This window comes from Homo sapiens, chromosome 12 (genome assembly GCF_000001405.40).
Source record: "Homo sapiens chromosome 12, GRCh38.p14 Primary Assembly".
In the NCBI taxonomy this organism is placed as follows: Eukaryota; Metazoa; Chordata; class Mammalia; order Primates; family Hominidae; genus Homo; species Homo sapiens.
The window spans coordinates 16,982,352-17,003,216 of record NC_000012.12 but is presented as its reverse complement, the minus strand read 5'-3'; the positions used below and the strand labels follow the sequence as shown (position 1 = coordinate 17,003,216).

The window sequence follows — 20,865 nt, the reverse complement described above, 5'->3', positions numbered from 1 at the left end:
GGAATCTTTCTCCATTGCTTGTTTTTCTCAGGTTTGTCAAAGATCAGATAGATGTAGATATGTGGCATTATTTCTGAGGGCTCTGTTCTGTTCCATTGATCTATATCTCTGTTTTGGTACCAGTACCATGCTGTTTTGGTTACTGTAGCCTAGTAGTATAGTTTGAAGTCAGGTAGCATGATGCCTCCAGCTTTCTTCTTTTGGCTTAGGATTGACTTGGCGATGCGGGCTCTTTTTTGGTTCCATATGAACTTTAAAGTAGTTTTTTCCAATTCTGTGAAGAAAGTCATTGGTAGCTTGATGGGGATGGCATTGAATCTATAAATTACCTTGGGCAATATGGCCATTTTCAAGATATTGATTCTTCCTACCTATGAGCATGGAATGTTCTTCCATTTGTTTGTATCCTCTTTTATTTCATTGAGCAGTGGTTTGTAGTTCTCCTTAAAGAGGTCCTTCACATCCCTTGCAAGTTGGATTCCTAGGTATTTTATTCTCTTTGAAGCAATTGTGAATGGGAGTTTACTCATGATTTGGCTCTCTGTTTGTCTGTTATTGGTGTATAAGAATGCTTGTGATTTTTGTACATTGATTTTGTATCCTGAGACTTTGCTGAAGTTGTTTATAAGCTTAAGGAGATTTTGGGCTGAGACAATGGGGTTTTCTAGATATGCAATCATGTCATCTGCAAACAGGGACAATTTGACTTTCTCTTTTCCTAATTGAATACCCTTTATTTCCTTCTACTGCCTACTTGCCCTGGCCAGAACTTCCAACACTATATTGAATAGGAGTGGTGAGAGAGGTCATCCCTGTCTTGTGCCAGTTTTCAAAGGGAATGCTTCCAGTTTTTGCCCATTCAGTATGATATTGGCTGTGGGTTTGTCATAGATAGCTCTTATTATTTTGAGATACGTCCCATCAATACCTAATTTATTGAGAGTTTTTAGCATGAAGGGCTGTTGAATTTTGTCAAAGGCCTTTTCTGCATCTATTGAGATAATCATGTGGTTTTTGTCTTTGGTTCTGTTTATACACTGGATTACATTTATTGATTTGCATATATTGCACCAGCCTTGCATCCCAGGGATGAAGCCCACTTGATCATGGTGGATAAGCTTTTTGATGTGCTGCTGGATTCGGTTTGCCAGTATTTTATTGAGGATTTTTGCATCAATGTTCATCGAGGATATTGGTCTAAAATTCTCTTTTTTGGTTGTGTCTCTGCCCGGCTTTGGTATCAGGATGATGCTGGTATCATAAAAGGAGTTAGGGAGGATTCCCTCTTTTTCTATTGTTTGGAATAGTTTCAGAAGGAATGGTACCAGTTCCTCCTTGTACCTGTGGTAGAATTCGGCTGTGAATCCATCTAGTCCTGGACTCTTTTTGATTGGTAAGCTATTGATTATTGCCACAATTTCAGAGCCTGTTATTGGTCTATTCAGAGATTCAACCTCTTCCCGTTTTAGTCTTAGGAGGGTGTATGTGTCGAGGAATTTATCCATTTCTTCTAGATTTTCTAATTTATTTGCGTAGAGGTGTTTGTAGTATTCTCTGATGGTAGTTTGTATTTCTGTGGGATCAGTGGTGATATCCCCTTTATCATTTTTTATTGCATCTATTTGATTCTTCTCTCTTTTCTTCTTTATTAGTCTTGCTAGCAGTCTATCAATTTTGTTGATCCTTTCAAAAAACCAGCTCCTGGATTCATTAATTTTTTGAAGGGTTTTTTGTGTCTCTATCTCCTTCAGTTCTGCTCTGATTTTAGTTATTTCTTGCCTTCTGCTAGCTGTTGAATGTGTTTGCTCTTGTTGCTTTTCTAGTTCTTTTAATTGTGATGTTAGGGTGCCAATTTTGGATCTTTCCTGCTTTCTCTTGTGGGCATTTAGTGCTATAAATTTCCCTCTACACACTGCTTTGAATGTGTCCCAGAGATTCTGGTATGTTGTGTCTTTGTTCTCATTGGTTTCAAAGAACATCTTTATTTCTGCCTTCATTTCATTATGTAACCAGTAGTCATTCAGGAGCAGGTTGTTCAGTTTCCATGTAGTTGAGCGGTTTTGAGTGAGTTTCTTAATCCTGAGTTCTAGTTTGATTACACTGTGGTCTGAGAGACGGTTTGTTATAATTTCTGTTGTTTTACATTTGCTGAGGAGAGCTTTACTTCCAAGTATGTGGTCAATTTTGGAATAGGTGTGGTGTGGTGCTGAAAAAAATGTATATTCTCTTGATTTGGGGTGGAGAGTTCTGTAGATGTCTACTAGGTCTGCTTGGTGCAGAGCTGAGTTCAATTCCTGGGTATCCTTGTTGACTTTCTGTCTCGTTGATCTGTCTAATGTTGACAGTGAGGTGTTAAAGTCTCCCATTATTAATGTGTGGGAGTCTAAGTCTCTTTGTAGGTCACTCAGGACTTGCTTTATGAATCTGGGTGCTCCTGTATTGGGTGCATATATATTTAGGATAGTTAGCTCTTCTTGTTGAATTGATCCCTTTACCATTATGTAATGGCCTTCTTTGTCTCTTTTGACTTTGTTGGTTTAAAGTCTGTTTTATCAGAGACTGGGATTGCAACCCCTGCCTTTTTTTGTTTTCCATTTGCTTGGTAGATCTTCCTCCATCCTTTTATTTTGAGCCTGTGTGCGTCTCTGCACATGAGATGGGTTTCCTGAATACAGCACACTGATGGGTCTTGACTCTTTATCCAATTTTCCAGTCTGTGTCTTTTAGTTGGAGAATTTAGTCCATTTACATTTAAAGTTAATATTGTTATGTGTGAATTTGATCCTGTCATTATGATGTTAGCTGGTTATTTTGCCTGTTAGTTGATGCAGTTTCTCCCTAGTCTTGATGGTGTTTACATTTTGGCATGATTTTGCAGTGGCTGGTACCGGTTGTTCCTTTCCATGTTTAGTGCTTCCTTCAGGAGCTCTTGTAGGGCAGGCCTGGTGGTGACAAAATCTCTCAGCATTTGCTTGTCTGTAAAGTATTTTATTTCTCCTTCGCTTATGAAGCTTAGTTTGGCTGGATATGAAATTCTGGGTTGAAAATTCTTTTCTTTAAGAATGTTGAAAATTGGCCCCCACTGTCTTCTGGCTTGTAGAGTTTCTTCCGAGAGATCCGCTGTTAGTCTGGTGGGCTTCCCTTTGTGGATAACCCGACCTTTCTCTCTGGCTACCCTTAACATTTTTTCCTTCATTTCAACTTTGGTGAATCTGACAATTATGTGTCTTGGAGTTGCTCTTCTTGAGGAGTATCTTTGTGGCGTTCTCTGTATTTCCTGAATCTGAATGTTGGCCTGCCTTGCTAGATTGGGGAAGTTCTCCTGGGTAATATCCTGCAGAGTGTTTTTCAACTTGGTTCCATTCTTCCCATCACTTTCAGGTACACTAATCAGACGTAGATTTGGTCTTTTCACATAGTCCATATTTCTTGGAGACTTTGTTCATTTCCTTTTATTCTTTTTTCTCTAAACTTCCCTTCTCACTTCATTTCATTCATTTCATCTTCCATCACTGATACCCTTTCTTCCAATTGATCGCATTTGCTCCTGAGGCTTCTGCATTCTTCACGTAGTTCTCGAGCCTTGGCTTTCAGCTCCATCAGCTCCTTTAAGCACGTCTTTGTATTGGTTATTCTAGTTATACATTCGTCTAAATTTTTTTCAAAGTTTTTAACTTCTTTGCCTTTGGTTTGAATTTCCTCCTGTAGCTCGGTGTAGTTTGATCGTCTGAAGCCTTCTTCTCTCAACTCGTCAAAGTCATTCTCCGTCCAGCTTTGTTCCGTTGCTGGTGAGAGACTGCGTTCCTTTGGAGAAGGAGAGGCACTCTGCTTTTTAGAGTTTCCAGTTTTTCTGCTCTGTTTTTTCCCCATCTTTGTGGTTTTTTCTACTTTTGGTCTTTGATGATGGTGATGTACAGATGGGTTTTTGGTGTGGATGTCCTTTCTGTTTGTTAGTTTTCCTTCTAACAGACAGGACCCTCAGCTGCAGGTCTGTTGGAGTTTGCTAGAGGTCCACTCCAGACGCTGTTTGCCTGGGTATCAGCAGCAGTGGCTGCAGAAGAGTGGATTTTTGTGAACCGCGAATGCTGCTGTCTGATCGTTCCTCTGGAAGTTTTGTCTTAGAGGAGTACCCGGCCATGTGAGGTGTCAGTCTGCCCCTACTGGGGGGTGCCTCCCAGTTAGGCTGCTCAGGAGTCAGGGGTCAGGGACCCACTTGAGGAGGCAGTCTGCTCGTTCTCAGATCTCCAGCTGCATGCTGGGAGAACCACTGCTCTCTTCAAAGCTGTCAGACAGGGACATTTAAGTCTGCAGAGGTTACTGCTGTCTTTTTGTTTGTCTGTGTCCTGCCCCCAGAGGTGGAGCCTACAGAGGCCGACAGGCCTCCTTGAGCTATGGTGGGCTCCACCCAGTTCGAGCTTCCAGGCTGCTTTGTTTACCGAAGCAAGCCTGGGCAATGGCGGGCGCCCCTCCCCCAGCCTCGCTGCTGCCTTGCAGTTTGATCTCAGACTGCTCTGCTAGCAATCAGTGAGACTCCGTGGGCGTAGGACCCTCCGAGCCAGGTGCGGGATATAATCTCCTGGCACGCCGCTTTTTAAGCCTGTTGGAAAATCGCAGTATTAGCGTGGGAGTGACCTGACTTTCCAGGTGCTGTCTGTCACCCCTTCCTTTGACTAGGAAAGGGAACTCCCTGACCCCTTGTGCTCCCCAACTAAGGCAATGCCTCACCCTACTTTGGCTCGCGCACGGTGCGCTGCACCCACTGTCCTGCGCCCACTATCTGGCAGTCCCTAGTGAGATGAACCCGGTACCTCAGATGGAAATGCAGAAATCACCCATCTTCTGCGTCGCTCGTGCTAGGAGCTGTAGACCAGAGCTGTTCCTATTCAGCCACCTTGGCTGCCCTGTAAACTGGTTATTTTAACAACTGTGTAACCTGTATAAAGTTTTTGGTTATTAAACTACCTAGTTGTATAATCCATTCTAGTAAATGTTTAATGACAAGATTTTAAAAAAATCATATTATATATAATTATTATTATAAAAATATATCTCTATATAAATACCTCTAGGTTTTATATACATGTCATTCTATGCACACATATATGCTTAAATATACACATATAATTTATGTATATGCTTTATTATAAATGTTAGTAATATTAAGAAATTATAAATAGCAATGTATATACACAATACAGCTGCCTTAAATTCCATATAGAAAATTAATTTTCATAGAATGTTTTCATCATTTTTTCTGAACTTTCATATGCCTAACCAGCCTATAATTACAACTGATAAATGTTGATTAATGTTATTGTTTCCATTCATGAGTAAGACAAACACGAATCAATAAAGGCATATGTCAAAACTACACTTTTGTCAATGATGCCAACAATTTCTTTGCTGAATCAGATAATAGTTTCAAATGCTGGAAGAATACTTACTCCGTTTTTTTGTGTTGTTGACAATGGAATGGCTATATCCACAGCACACTTTTAAATTTAGTCTGCATTATTAACATTTTCCCCATTACTTTAAGTTTAGTCAGTCAACAAAACTATTCCCCTAGTTTAGCATTTGCCTGTTTCCATGATGTATTTGTATTCTGTCCAGTTTCAAGCTATCAACTCAACTATACTGAAAATGGAGTTAGAAAGAGGTATGCCTTACCATTCCATAGTACTCCCACAATGCAATAAACAAATACCAAAAAATCTCAAGAGCATAGATAACCGTAAAATGTAGTAAAACATTTTGAGTACTTGTAATTACTTTGTTTTTACTTTATTTAATTAAAAACTTGTATGGTTTCATTTTTAATTGTACCTGAGTTTAATAACCACATTGCCAGATTCCTAAATACTTACCAATGAGTTCTTGCTAGATGGTATAAATTGGCTTTGTATGTATACCACACACACACACAGACACACACACACACACACACACACACACTCATGTATGTTTGCAGGAGCCTACAAACACACACATACAATATTGTGCTCATATAATATCATGGTCAGTAGTTACTGCTTCAATTTGTCTAAAATGTTATATTGATATTATCTTATTGGTATTTCAGTGTATTTGCTAACTAGGTTTGCAATGACATGGACAAATTAATTCATGAAAAAAATTGAATTGTCAGTTACCCCAGTTTGATTCAGGTTGATATGGACAAATTAGAGGATGTAGACTTTATTTCACTGTATATCATTAGGTCATCTTTAAAATATCCTCAAACATTGCTTTTCCCCCTTGCAATCTGCCGAAACCTTAGACACAAAGGAATTACCCCCATTGGAAAGGTAAGTTTCCCTACAGAGATATGTCCTCTTTCTGAAGTTTCAAATTGTGCCCTGCTGAACTGAATATTCTATGAACTATTAAGTATACCGTTATGATAAAAGAGCAATAGTCATTAAGGTCATTGCACTTGAGGCTTCCATTTGAACTTCTTTTGGGTTCAAGGCAAACAAAAATCTTTTGTTTTACCTACTTTCTTCCCCAGCCCAGAGGCAATGTAAGGGAGGATGAGAAAGAAAACCCTTTCTCCCTAGATTTTTGAAAACTTTAAAATCTAATGATGGAAAAGGGCTGCAGTTTAAAACATGAAAGGTCAAGGTAGCCTACTAGAGACACAGAGAATATATAACTTCTTATGGGAATCTCCCAGGCGTGAGATTATTCTGAGATTTCAATCTTATAGTTAAATAGTAATATATCAAAAAGATGGTGAAAATAGTTGCTTTATAAAATGTTGAGGAGTCAGTCATTTACCTCTCACAAAATGTCAGCAGCTTTATTCACAAACCTTAAACTTAGGAAACTTGAGATATGAGTATTTAAGAAAACACTTCAAAAATAAACAAACCTCCCTTAAGATTAACTTGGAATGAAACATTAACTGAGTAATTTTCTCAAAGCAACCATTTGCCTATTTTTAACCTCTGATAGAAACTATACAGAAACAAACGGGTTGTCATATTCTTGCATCTGCCACCAGACAGCTACGTGTGTACAGTCTCAGGGGATGTAATAAGAAATTCATCAGAGATTCTGAGAAGTTGAAATACAAACTAAAGCATCTTGGATTCCATTCATCAATAAGCCCTGAGCCATTGGCATCACTATTGGTGTCTGATGTATCTGATGCTCTGGCCCACTATCGGGCAACCCTGGACACTTTTGCGCAGGTTCTACTCACTTTTCACTAACAATGTTTTTCCTCAACTGTTGGCATCTTAGCTTTCTGCATTGAAGTCTTTTTACACATACTTGAATAGCTTATAAGTGTGGGGGAATTGATGGGATGGCCCTCAACCAGTGGTGAACTTGAGCTCTGCCTCCTGTCCTTTGGGTGGACAGTTCTAAAAGGCATGCTATACTCTTGTTTAGAGTGAGCTCAAGCACCAGTTGCCCACACTGGTCAACTTGATGAACTTTTCTTCCTTCCTTTATTCTCATCTCTCTTTTGACTCTCCTGCTCTTTAGTGTTACCTTCTAAATGCCATCTGGAAATAAATCAGACTCTGCTTTCAGGGGAACTCAAGCTAAAATACAATCAAACCATCATCTATGCATTTGTTACACAAGGTTTATCTCCAAAGGGAATTCATTTTTTTTTCCTGCACTCTCACCCTCACTGAGGAATAAAACCGTCCTTATTTTGGTACTATATGTCATTTCTTTTTGTTCAATAGTTGCACAGATTTCAGCTACTATTATGTTGACCCCAATCTATCCATGTATGAAACTATGGATTCACCTCAACTTGCCCTATTAAGAACGCACTTCATCCTTCAAACTTTTTTGACTACTCTCCCCATCCAAGTTTTTTAAGTCTGTGTCCCTGGCCCTAGAAACTTTCTTTGTATATGACACCATGCAGATAAAGAAGTAGAATAACAGGAGATAAAACTAGACCATTGGTACTATCAAAAGTATCAGTTACATTCTGAGGGCAATGCCCTTTTCTTTATGTCAAACATAAAGGAAAAATTCTAGTTGTAGAAATATTCTAAATCTTGTAAAACTTACTTAATCATTAACTCTGGAGAATAAATTGATCCCAGTGGCAAAACTAAAACATAAATTAACTGTAGAAAACTACAAAATATTTACCAGTAGTAAGCTATTTTTGTTTTTCTTAAGAAAAACTGACAACACATTTTTTAGTGACCTGGAAGCCTGTTCTCTCTCAGAGATGCTTTATTTCACATATGTCCTTCTTTTCAAGAAAATATTTATTACCATATTGATAATAAATTTATTATTATATATTATTTGCTAGAGTTTTTTGTCTTTTAGGCTAGTTTCTTTAGAATGTTATTATTCAGTTAACAAATATTAGTTGAGTGTCAGCTATGCGCTAGTAACTGTATTATGTATTGGAAAACACATATGAAAATAAATTTTGGATCTCAAGTCCTTCATGCTTTGGTAGGGGAGGCACGTAGCAAACAGGAAATTTGAATGTAACGTTTAAGGCCTCTACAATGTATAATGAAACCACATGTAAGGATAACAGAGCTGTGAGTTAAGCCACCCTACCTCTTTTTTCTCTCTGCCTTTTGAGAGATACATTCTAATAACTAGTAGCCATTAGTTATTTTTCCTGATTCTCCCTCCTCCCACCCTCCACCTTCTGAAAGGCCCCACTGTGTGTTGTTCCCCTTTATGTGTCCATATGTTCTCATCATTTCACTTCCACTTATAAGAAAAAAATGTGGTATTTGGTTTTCTGTTTCTGTGTTGTTCTTTTTTCATAAAAATAAATTTACATATTTCTAGACAATACTAAACAACTGTTTCTTTTCCATTTTGTTTACATTTGGGGTATCAGCTCAACTCAGCATACATAGTTCTATTCTTAAATGCAGTGAGGTAGACAAAATTACACATCTCCAATAGGGTAACAGTTTTCCTTGCATGGAGGAACTATGTTTCTGTTAAGCAATTATTAGAAAAGATCCTCATTAAGTACTTATGTACAAACATGGAAATATATGTGCATTTTAAACTCTTTAATTCTCATGCCAAACTGCTTGTTTATTTAGATGTATGAAAACAGATATGTTTTATTACCAAATATTATTTATTCAACACAATACATTTCTAAGTATAAAATGAAGATAATAGGACTAAAATATTTTTGAGGAGAAAATTTAAATGTTGGTGTAACTCAAAGCAATATCATACACACCTTGCTCTAAATGTAATTGACTTTGGATTTGGGATGCGGAGAGATAGTTTCTTAAAATCGCAGTAACTTTTAATAATTTTAATGCATTTTGAAAGGAGGAAATAGTATTATTATAATGGTGACAAGTATCGGATAATTTTTAGGAATAAAAATTCTCCTTAATGTTTTTGCCACTGTGAACATCTTTAAAGGTGAGGAGATAGAGAAATAGTGATGTTTAGAGAGACTCAGCAAATCTTATACAATAGTGCTGCAAATTTCTGAAAGAAGATGGTTGTAGTATCAGGTGTGCTTTGAGGGTTGGAAAAGTTTCTTTCTTGTTTCTTGCAACCCATTTCAACTACCAATTGTTCTTTTAAGACAATTTATAAAGGTAAACTGTGATATTTGATATTCCATACATAAGAAATTTGAAACATTGATAATTTTGCACAGGATATTTGTGGCTAAAAGTCAGACGTCATCTGCTGCAGGCTTGTTGGGTAGTGATCTCACATGTATACACGTATTTTGCCTTCACATTTATTTTCTAACAAGCAATCAAAGTAGAAAAATGGAAAACCAAATTAAAGAAGATTTATCTTCTACTATTCCAATAAGATAATTAAAACATTTACATTAAGGCAATGAAAGACACAGTTCATTGCCTCATTAGAGACTCAACAGAAAGCATAATGATAATGATTATTTTGATATGTATTCTTGATATAGATGAACAGAATAAATATTTACCATCTATTTTTCTATTTATTCTGTTTATATGTTGATGTAGGCATATACTTTCTTTGTTTATCTAAGTAATTGTTTTCTGTCTTGTATTGGACTGTAGTGAACACTTAATTGCTGAAGAAGGTTTTTTTTTTTTGTTTGGACCCAAGACAGAAGTCAATTTTCCTTAAAAAGAAGAAACATTTAAAAATCTCACCGTTTTGGCATATGTAGAAAATATTAACGGCAAAGGGAGGGATAAGAAAGAAATCAAGAGTAAACTGGGACAAGTAAGAGTAAAGATAATATTTGGTGGTAAGCAGATAGCTGAATGCATTACAGGCAATCAGTATCTTTCAAATAGTTAATAACTTCTCAAATAAAATATGAGTGTTGAGATATTACAGACAGATAATAGTAAAAATTTGACCTAATTTGAACAATTACCCTTTATACCAAGAAAGGATTAGTAGAAATATGGTGAGAGAGGGAGTTAGAGAAGTAAGAGAGAGAGAGAGAGAGAGAGAGAGAGAGAGAGAGAGAGGCTGAAACAGAGAGAAAGAAACATACTGATTAAAAATAGAGAATTAATTTTGAAGTCCATAAGCAAATCTTGTTAGTTCTGATTTCTTTTTTTTTCCTCTTAAACTTTGTTCTAATGGGTCTCAAAATTCTGTGACAGATTTTTCATCAAGTTGTTTCCATTAAAAAAGTACTGATTTTAGGCTGGGTGTGGTGGTTCATGCCTGTAATCCCAGCACTTTGGGAGGCCGAGGCGGGCGGATCACCAGAGGTCAGGAGTTCAAGACCAGCCTTGCCAACATGGTGAAATCCTGTCTCTACAAAAATACAAAAATTAGCTGGGCATGATGGCCGGTACCTGTAATCCCAGCTACTCAGGAGGCTGAGGCGGGAGAATCACTTGAACCTCGGAGGTGGAGGTTGCAGTGAGCTGAGATCATGCTGTTACACTCCAGCCTGGGCAACAGAGTGAGACTGTCTCAAAAAAAAAAAAAAAGTACTGATTTTAAAAACTAATAACTTAAAACTGCCACACACACACACACACACACACACACACATACACACATGGTCCACAAAACATTCTCCTCTCCTTCTGACGGTTTTACGATGCATTGTAATCATTAAACCATTCTTTTACTATTAAACTTAAATGGCCAATGGAAACAAACAGTTCTGAGACAGTTCTTTCACCACTGATTAAGACTGGGGTGGCAGGTACAAGGGATAATATTCACTAGGCTTTGGAGCTTTCTGGGCAGACTTAGTGACCTTGCCAACTCCAGCAGCCTTCCTGTCCTCTGCTTTGATGATACCCATGGCAACTGTCTGTCTCATATGACCAACAGCAAAGTGACCCAGAGGTGGATAGTCTGAGAAGCTCTCTACACACATGGGCTTGCCAGGAACCATATAAATGATGGCAGCATCACCAGACTTCAAGAATTTAGGGCCGTCTTCCAGCTTTTTACCAGAACAGCGATCAATCTTTTCCTTCAGCTCAGCAAACTTGCATGCAGTGTGAGCCGTGTGACAATCCAGTACAAGGGCATAGCCAGCACTTATTTGGCCTGGATGGTTCAGGATAATCACCTGAGCAGTGAAGCCAGCTGCTTCCATTGGTGGGTCGTTTTTGCTGTCACCAGCATTGTTGCCATGACGAACATCCTTGACAGACACGTTCTTGACATTGAAGCCCACATTGTCCCCAGGAAGAGCTTCACTCAAAGCTTCATGGTGTATTTCAACAGACTTTACTTCAGTTGTAACATTGACTGGAGCACCATACAGGGTTTGAGAACACCAGTCTCTACTCAGCCAACAGAAACAGTACCAATACCACCAATTTTTGTAGATATCCTAGAGAAGCAGGTGAAAGGGCTTGTTAGTTGGATGAGTTGGTGGTAGGATGCAGTCCAGAGCCTCAAGCAGTGAGGTTCCACTGGTATTGCCATCCTTACAGGTGACTTTCAGTCCCTTAAACCAAGGCATGTTAGCACTTGGCTACAGTATGTTGTCACCATTTCAACCAGAAATAAGCACAAATGCTGCTGTGTCAAGGTTGCAGCCAATTTTCATAATGTAAGTGTTGACTTCTTTAACGATTTCCTCATATGTCTTCTGGCTGTAGGGTTGCTCAGTGGAATCCATTTTGTTAACACCAACAATTAGTTGTTTCACACCTAGTGTGTAAGCCAGAAGGGCATGCTCATGGGTCTGTCCATTCTTGGAGATACCAGCTTCAAATTCACCAACACCAGCAGCAACAATCAGGACAGCACAGTCAGCCTGAGATGTCCCTGTAATCATGTTTTTGATGAAGTCTCTGTGTCCTGGGGCATCAATGATACTCACGTAGTACTTACTGGTCTCAAATTTCTACAGGGAGATACCAATGGTGATACCAGGTTCATGTTTAGCTTTCAGTTTATCCAAGACCCAAGCATACTTGAAGGAGCCCTTTCCCATCTAAGCAGCCTCCTTCTCAAATTTTTGAATGGTTCTTTTGTCGACGTCAATGCATTTGTAGATCAGATGGCCAGTAGTGGTGGACTTGCCTGAACCTACTTGTCCAGTGATGACAATGTTGATATTAGTCTTTTCCTTTCCCATTTTGGCTTTTAGAGGTAGTTTTCTCTCCCTCTTTTTTTTTTCCATAGGTGAAGTGTCTTTTTAATTGAAAAGCTAACAAACTGTCCAGTTACATTTCCCCAAAAAAACCATAAACTGGGTAGTAACTGAGTCTCTAGGCAATATATTTAAAGCCAAGAGGATTAAAAATAAAATTAAAGAAAGAGAAAACAAGTCCTCAGATGCAATGAAGGGAGCCCTGCTACATACAGGTTAATCAATACAGTGGTTCTCCTTGACTGCAGGAGGTTGGAAGACATTCTAGTAACTCCACTCAGAACATTTACTTCAAGAAGCCTTTTTCCAGTTTCCAACTCATGAATAAAAATAACATTTTGTTAATTCTAGTCCAGAAAACTTTTTTTGCAAGCTGGTTTATTTACAGTGCCAACTTTTAAAAGGTCACTAAAGTTAACTGGACAATAAACTAGGCAGACATTGCTTTACAAAAAAGAGGGAAAGGCCAAAATTCCACTTACAGAGAACCTACAGTTCAGTTTTATTCAAAGAAACTTTTGATCATACTGGAAGAAACTCAGCCATAGGTTTGGAATCTGTACTCAAACTACACATGCAACGAGGACAATATTCCGCTAATACCATTGACTTGCTGCTGCATTTGTCTACTGTTTGTCTAATACTAACAACTATAAATAGAGCAGTGCAACTAGTATTTGGAACAATCCTTACAGTGTTACAGTGTCAGGCATAACATTTCACTTCTCTTCACACTGCTGGTTCTCTTGGTGTACCTGGGCTTCCCACTCTTCAGTAAAGTAATTTTTTTTTTTTTTTTTTATTTTTAGACAGAGTCTCACTCTGTGGCCCAGGCCGGAGTGCAGTGGCGCCATCTTGGCTCCCTGCAAGCTCCCCCTCCCGGATTCACACCATTCTCCTGCCTCAGCTTCCCGAGTAGCTGGGACTACAGGCACCCGCCACCACGCCCGGCTAAATTTTTTGTATTTATTTAGTAGAGACGGAGTTTCACCGTGTTAGCCAGGATAGTCTCAATCTACTGACCTCGTGATCCGCCTGCCTCAGCCTCCCAAAGTGCTGGGATTACAGGCGTGAGCCACAGCTCCTGGCCCAGTAAAGTCATTTTTTAAATTGAAGGTCTTGTGAATCTCCTCAGGAGTTTTCCTGTTGACCATATTGGCAACAGTCTTGCATGTAACATCAAGCAAACCTTTGATGTCTAAGTAGTTTGCAGCCAGAATGAGTTCAAAAAGTGTTCCTTGGTCAACTTTCAGAAATTCTTGGTCCCAAACAGGGATATCGTCTGTTCGCTTTTCTTTGTTTTCATAAACTTTGGGAGGAGGTGAGTCATCCTCATGGTGGGTGCACCACTGAATGACCTTTTTTAATATTGCTGCATTAACATTTGGTAGAGGAACTGGGTCATGATCTCCTTCATCATTCATTCCCAAATCTTCCAACATGGTCTTGATAGTCACAGATTGTTTGACAATTTCCACATCAACTTCAAATATCTCTCCACCAGAACTCTGCAACTTAATTGAAGGCATGGTGTTCTGTGTTAAGGAGACGGCCGGCCGGAGGCTGACTAGAGTTGGGAGGCGACAGCGGAGGAAGAGAAAGGCAGAGGAAGAAGCCACTACAGTGGCGCGACACAGCATCTTTAGAGATAGTTTTCAAGACACCTGTGTTCTGCCAGCAACCTGTTGCAGAAAAAGTAGTTCTGTTTCCATATCTCACTGTTCTAGTCTTACTAGTTTTTCTTTCCAAAAATACTGCAATAGCATCCTAACTGGTCTTGTTGATTTATCACTTATTCTCCTGTGGTCTTTTATTTTCATTGTAACCAAAGGAATCTACTTACAACATAAATATATTGGCTACATCTAAATGCAAGGGTGGCTGAATATTAATGAGCACTGGTATTCTGATTCCATGTTCTCTTATCTCCTGGGAAATTATTTCGGGTTCTGTGTACCCATTCTCATAGCTTCTGTGTGCTTTCCACTTACGACCTTCTTCAGAGCGCTACCTTGTGTTCAGAAGTGCCAATGCCTGACTGCTGCAGAAGTGTGAAAGCTCATCTCTCTTACCTTAAAGCGGTACAGAATTTGCAATGTAATTTATATTACAGAACACCCAAAGAATTAGGATGAGGTGTTGATTTCCCCTGAACTTGCACTTTTGTTTAGCTTTTCTGCTTCCCCGTCCTCCTTATCAGCTTCTTAATAAATCGTTTGCACAAGAATCCACAGCTCAGGGGAATCGCACCTAAAGATGCACCCCTCTTTCCCCTCTTTCCTGATGCGTGAGTTTCCCTGCTCTTCCTTGAACCTGTGCCATGCCCCAACTTCCAGGACTTGTAGATGGTTTTCTTTCTGTCTGGAATGCCATTTTCCCACATGTCCACACAGTTCACATCTTTCCTCCTTCGTGTCTCCACTCAAATACCACTTTTGCAGGGATGTCTTTCATGACCACTCTGTTTTTTACCCTATCCCAGTCCAACATTCATCTTCATATATTTATGTTTGAGAACTAAGTGTTTTCCACACTTGAGTATACATCCCATGTGTCTTCATTCCCCAGCTGCATTCTAGCACACAGTGCAAGAGGCTGATTACATAAAAGGCATTCAGCACATGTTTTAAAATGAAATGTACAAATGAGTAACTATGCAAAACTTAACTACACAGTAAACTGAATAAAATTTTTATTCTATAATTAAGCATTATGTTGCCTGTCTAATGTCCAAAATTAAAGAAATCCTAAATGAACGATCACTGATAAATATCTGGACTAGTTGTGCCTTAACAATTTATTGCAGAAATAATTGTCATCTTCATTGTAGACCTGATAAGCACCACATGCTATAGAATGTTGCCTTAACTAAGCTTACATGGGAGCTGTGACAAATGTACTGCATAACAGTTTATGAAATCACAACTTCTGATAACAGTACTGAACATTAGTTAAATACTCTGCCTGAAACATGCCAATAAGTTGAATATATTTGCTGAAGATAAAATACATGGTATATGGGTCCTCTCACAGAGCTTTGCACTATTAAGAAAATAAAAACCTTTGTGACATAGAATAACCTTGAGAATTAAATTACAATACAAGGAATTGAAAGACAGTAAAACTTTCTCAATAGTTTTATGGGAATGAGCAAGCTTGGAAGGGAATGAGCTGTAAAGATAATGCTGAGGTAGTAAACGCATTAATAAATTAAAAGAGAAAGAGAATCAAAACATGAAATCAAGAGTGAATTTTAAAGGTAACTTGATCAGAACATCAGGAAAAGCTGATGGAGACAGGAGGCTGCTAGAGAATGCTCTGCAGTCAGACTGCAGCTCTAGGTATATATTATCCTTTCTTTCAATTTTGTTTTGTCCTGAAGAGACAGACGTCCTTTGTTACTGGTTTGACTGTCTCTTGGGAACACTAAAAACTGTATGGTAACCTGCAGTAAAGTTAAGTCAAGTTCTCTCTGAGTGACACAGAGTGACAGGGAGTCAGGCTGTCTGTCCATTATTATCCACAATGTGAGTGCCTAAGTTTTAATCTGAACAAGGGACTTATGACTGAACGTATATCACTATATTGGCATATCATATTGACTTTCTGATAATGTTCTAAAGCCAGTTGAGTAAGAGAGAGAAAATGCCACTGGGTACAAATTGTGGCATCAATTCTCTGCCAGACCGATCAATTGGATTTATATATTACCTCCAGCTACAATCTTAAAATCTATAGTTTTACTCTCTCTTCAGTGCACAGCTCACAGCTTAAATAATTGCAGATTCAAATGAATTTTAAAAGGATCGAACAGTCTTAAATTAAAAATGTGTGAACATTGTTGTTTTAACCACTCTTAATTATTTACTAATCTAACTCAATGGATTCACCTTTTCTCCCTTTCTCTCTCTCTCTCTCTTCATTCTTCTTTCTTCCTTTCATTCTCTAATTCCTCTAAGAGCAAAGATTCCATATTCATCCTTCAAATAATTTATAATGATTTTAATCAATAAAATTAATATAATATATACACAGATTTATAGATACTTTAAACTGGCTTATCAAAAACTATCAGAAGTTCTGAATTACAAATTGTTTGCCCTCAGACCTAACTGCCTCTCTCTTGTAATTATAATATTTGAAAATCCATTCATTAGACATCAAAGTTGTATAAGAAAAATTAAAAATACATTTACTGAAAAATGCTTCCAGCAGAATAGAACACTGTAGCCTTTTTTGCATGAAATCTTTGTACAAAATTGCAAAGCTCAGACAGTAACCCAAAACATAATGCCACTTGCAGGAAATTCAACATATATTAGAAAACTTAGGCAAAAGCAAATAACATAAAGGCAATTTTAATGTGTCTCAGAATTTTCCTCCACATTTTTGGATGTTAGGAAACTTTACATGAGAAACAATCTTTTGTTAGAAAAAATATAAAACGTGAATAATTTCAAATTGCTTCAAATGGTGAGTTTTGATAGCTTCATATGTCATAATTTAAACGGATGTTTTTTTAGAATTATATTAATGATTAATATTTACTGAATATTTATGATTCACCAGGAAATATGCTAAGTCATTAATATATGTTAATGTAAACTGCTTTCATGAACATCCAGTACATTAGGGATTCTTATCTCCATTTTACAGATCTATAAACAGAGACCTAAAGATATTAAATAGATTTCTACACTATATGGGACATTGGACTAACATGGAAGACTCTACTCCTTAATAAATGCTTAGAAATCCACAATTTTCAGAAACTAAACAGAATCTCACTAATGCCATGAGTCAATGACGAAACAAAAACAGCTCAATGGAGTCAATGGCTCTATGTTTATGAAATAGATTTCCTCCTCTTTAGAGATTAAGGATGAAATCCCTAAGGTCTATATCTGGTCAGAGATACAGACATAAAGCCTATTTTAATGTGTCTTAAAATTTTTCTCCACATTTTGGACATTAAGAAACATTACATGAGAAACAATCTTTAATTAGAAGATTGTTCCTCTATATCTAGTCAGAGCCAGCTGTAGACCTTAGGGGTTTCATCCTAAATCTCTAATCAGGAGGAAATCTATGTCATAAACCTGTAGGATTATGAACTCGATCTATTTACATTCAGTAGGCAATTATGAAGAGCTATGTTATTCATAAAAGGACAACTAGGAAAATTAAAAGAAAAATATCTGTCAATTTCCTTTGGCCAAATATAAATTGACAAAACAGAAATCTATTTCATAAACCTGTAGGATTATAAACTCGATCTATTTACATTAAGTAGATCATTAAGAAGACCTACCTTATTCATAAAAGGAGAACTAGGAAAATTAAAAGAAAATATCTGTCAATTTCCTTTGGCCACGAAAATACAAATAGGCAAAATGAAAAAATAAAATAGAACCCTCGGGTTAGTCCACTTCCTGTGTGGGATTCAAATTTACACAGACATATACTGCCTAGAGAGAAAGCAGGAAGGACAGTGAAGCCTCCCAGAATGAGTGCTTCCTAACCCAAGGAATGCAGGTTTCCTAAACCAAAACCAAAACCAAAACAAAATCTTCACAAGATAAACTCATACCAATAAAGTATATGAAGAAATGAACCATTATGAGAGAAAGTAAAATGATAAAAGAATCATAATATTTTCACACAACGAATAGAAATAACAATAAAAAGGGATCAAAATATCATGTAGAAAACACAGGACAATGTCAAATTAGACTAGAATGGTTTAAAAAAGAAGCAAAAAATAGTCATAGAAATTACAGAGTTTATTAGTCTGCTCAGGTTACCATGACAAAATACTACTGAATGGGTGGCTTAAGCAACAAACACTTACTTTATCGCAGTTATGAGTGCTGCCTGTCTACGACTATGTTGCCAACATGGTTGGTTTCTGGTGAGGCCTCTCTTTTCAGCTTTTAAATGGCACCTCCCATCTGTCATCACATGACCTTTCTGCGTTTGTGTCCAGAGAGAGAGAGAGCACTCTGGTTTCTCTTCCTCTTCTTATAAGGACACTAGCCTTATTGAGTTAGAAACCCACCCTCTAACCTCATTCAACATTAATTACCTCCTCACAAGTCCTATCTCTGAATATGGTTATATTGAGGAGTAAGGCTTCAAGATTAATTTTGAGGGCATGTAATTAAATTTTTAATAGTTCTCAAAATAAAAAAAAACAAACAAATATGTGACTTGAAACATAGATCTGAGTAAATCATCAACCATGCAGCATCAAATGATAAGTGATAGGTTATATGTAAAGAAGTCATAAAAAAGACATAAAATTACTCTTAAGATTTTGTTATTCCCTTTAATGTTCTGCATTTCCACTGCTTTGTGAAGTCTTTATTTCAAAAGTATCTTTACCTCATTCTCTCCAGTAATTCCTATGAAAATATATTGGTAAAATTATGCCCTCTGGGTTTCTTGTCCAAAAGCCAATTGAAGAAATGTCTGAATAAATAAGCAAATTTGCAGAGAATCATGGTGGCCCATGTCTTAGTAGCATAACTAAGCTAGAATTAGAATTAATATTATTACAATATTGATCTAAAAATGCTTAAAAACCAATACTATTACAACCTTGGTCAAAAATGCTTAAAAACCAAAAATTATTTTAAAGGATTAACTTGCCCAACAAGTATTTTCTTTTTTGTTTGTTTGTTTGTTTTTGTTTTGTTTTTTATTTATTATTATTATACTTTAAGTTTTAGGGTACATGTGCACAATGTGCAGGTTAGTTACGTATGTATACATGTGCCATGCTGGTTTCTAAAAAAGAAAATTCAATGTTATACAAAGAAAGACAAAATCTGAATGCATAATAATGTAATATTCATTATGTATTAGCCCATTTTTATTTTCATGTGAAGAAATACTTGACACTGGGTAATTTATAAAGAAAAAGAGGTTTAATGGATTCACAGATCCACATGGTTGGGGAGGCCTCACAATCATGGCGGAAGGCAAAGGAGGAGCAAAGGCACATCTTATGTGGCAACGGGCAAGAGAGCGTGTGCAGGGGAACTGCCCTTTAGAAAACCATCAGCTCTCATGAGACTTATTTACTATCATGAGAACAGCACGGGAAAAACCCTCCTCCATGATTCAATTACTTACCACTGGGTCCCTCCCACAACACATGGGGATTATGGAAGCTATAATTCAAGATAAGATTTGGGTAGGGATACAGACAAACCATATCACATTACATACAATATCAAGTCAAAAAATAGTAGAAATAAGAGACGATTCTGTGAAGATAGTGGAATTAAAGATACCAGTAATCTCTCTCCACTTAGATAACAGCTGCATGGCCAGAAGCTGTCTGACTAGACTCTGGAGTCTCATGAAGCTTCGCAACTTCCAGAGGAAGACTTAAATGGTAAATCGCCATTACTTTTGGTCAAATTCAGCTCCTTTCTCAGCAGCAGCTACGCATTCCTCACCCTCCAACCTCTTGGCAGACAGTCCTACGCGTGTTCCAGAGCAATTTTCACACAGTTAGCAGGAACCAAGGTGGGTGTGATGGTTAATTTTATGTGTCAAGTGGATGGGTCATGGGGTGTTCAGATATTTGGTCCAGCATTATTCTGGGTGTTTCTATGGAATGTTTGGAATTAGATTAACAATTAAGCTGGTAAAATAAGTAAAGCAGATTTCCCTCTTTAATGTGGGTGAGTCTTATTCAATAAGATCAGGGCTTAAGTACAACAGAAAGGCTGATGCTACTCCAATGAGAAAGAATTATACCTGCCTTACCATCTTCAAAGTAAAACATTGGACCTTCCTGGGTCTTGAACTTGCTGACTCACCCTTCAGATGTTAGGACTTGTCAGACTCTATAACTGTGAGCCAATTATATAGATAGGTAGATAGGTAGATAGACTATATATGTGTGTGTGTGTGTGTATATATATATATATATATACACACACATACATACACACCATAATATATTAGTTTAATATATGCTACATATTGTATATGTAATATTGCATATATACAGCATATAATTATATATAAAACTGATTCTGACTAATTCCATGGGCAATAAGTATTCTGCCTTCCATCTATCAGTGATTCTAACCTCATATCTGTATTCTAACCTCATGTTTCTGATCGTGGAGGTACAGATACAGAGGCAGGTAGACATTTTGTACCCCGTAACCTTGTTGTAAGCCTCTCTCCTTAAGCTGAAGTAATTTTCAGGGATTTAAAAGGCTAATGCATTATCCACTCTCCTTTCAGTTTTTTTTTTCTTTTTTCTTCTTTTGGGAATCAGT

At 37.5% G+C, this 20,865-nt stretch overlaps 1 long non-coding RNA gene and 2 pseudogenes across 2 annotated transcripts in view, besides 1 other annotated feature; 1 reads left to right on the top strand and 2 right to left on the bottom strand.

The window, feature by feature from the left end:
- Positions 1-10,935: 10,935 nt before the first annotated feature.
- EEF1A1P16 (eukaryotic translation elongation factor 1 alpha 1 pseudogene 16) lies at positions 10,936-12,570 on the bottom strand (annotated as a pseudogene).
- SKP1P2 (S-phase kinase associated protein 1 pseudogene 2) lies at positions 12,589-14,470 on the bottom strand (annotated as a pseudogene). Its single transcript, NR_036619.1, has one exon. The product of NR_036619.1 is annotated as an S-phase kinase associated protein 1 pseudogene 2 (transcript).
- A 113-nt stretch (positions 14,471-14,583) lies between these two features.
- The window catches only part of LOC105369677 (uncharacterized), a 200,713-nt gene continuing 194,431 nt past the window's right edge, over positions 14,584-20,865 (top strand). The window contains exons 1-2 of the long non-coding RNA XR_931397.3: positions 14,584-14,643; positions 19,882-20,098. This is a non-coding gene — a long non-coding RNA (uncharacterized LOC105369677). The remainder of the gene's footprint in view (positions 14,644-19,881; positions 20,099-20,865) is intronic.
- Positions 19,231-20,430: an enhancer, noted in NCBI's record as "MED14-independent group 3 enhancer chr12:17135721-17136920 (GRCh37/hg19 assembly coordinates)". NCBI's record gives its function as "activates an origin of replication core promoter dependent on BRD2, BRD4, P300/CBP and CDK7 cofactors, and independent of MED14, by STARR-seq in HCT116 cells {active_cell/tissue: HCT116}" and the evidence as "EXISTENCE:reporter gene assay evidence [ECO:0000049][PMID:35650434]".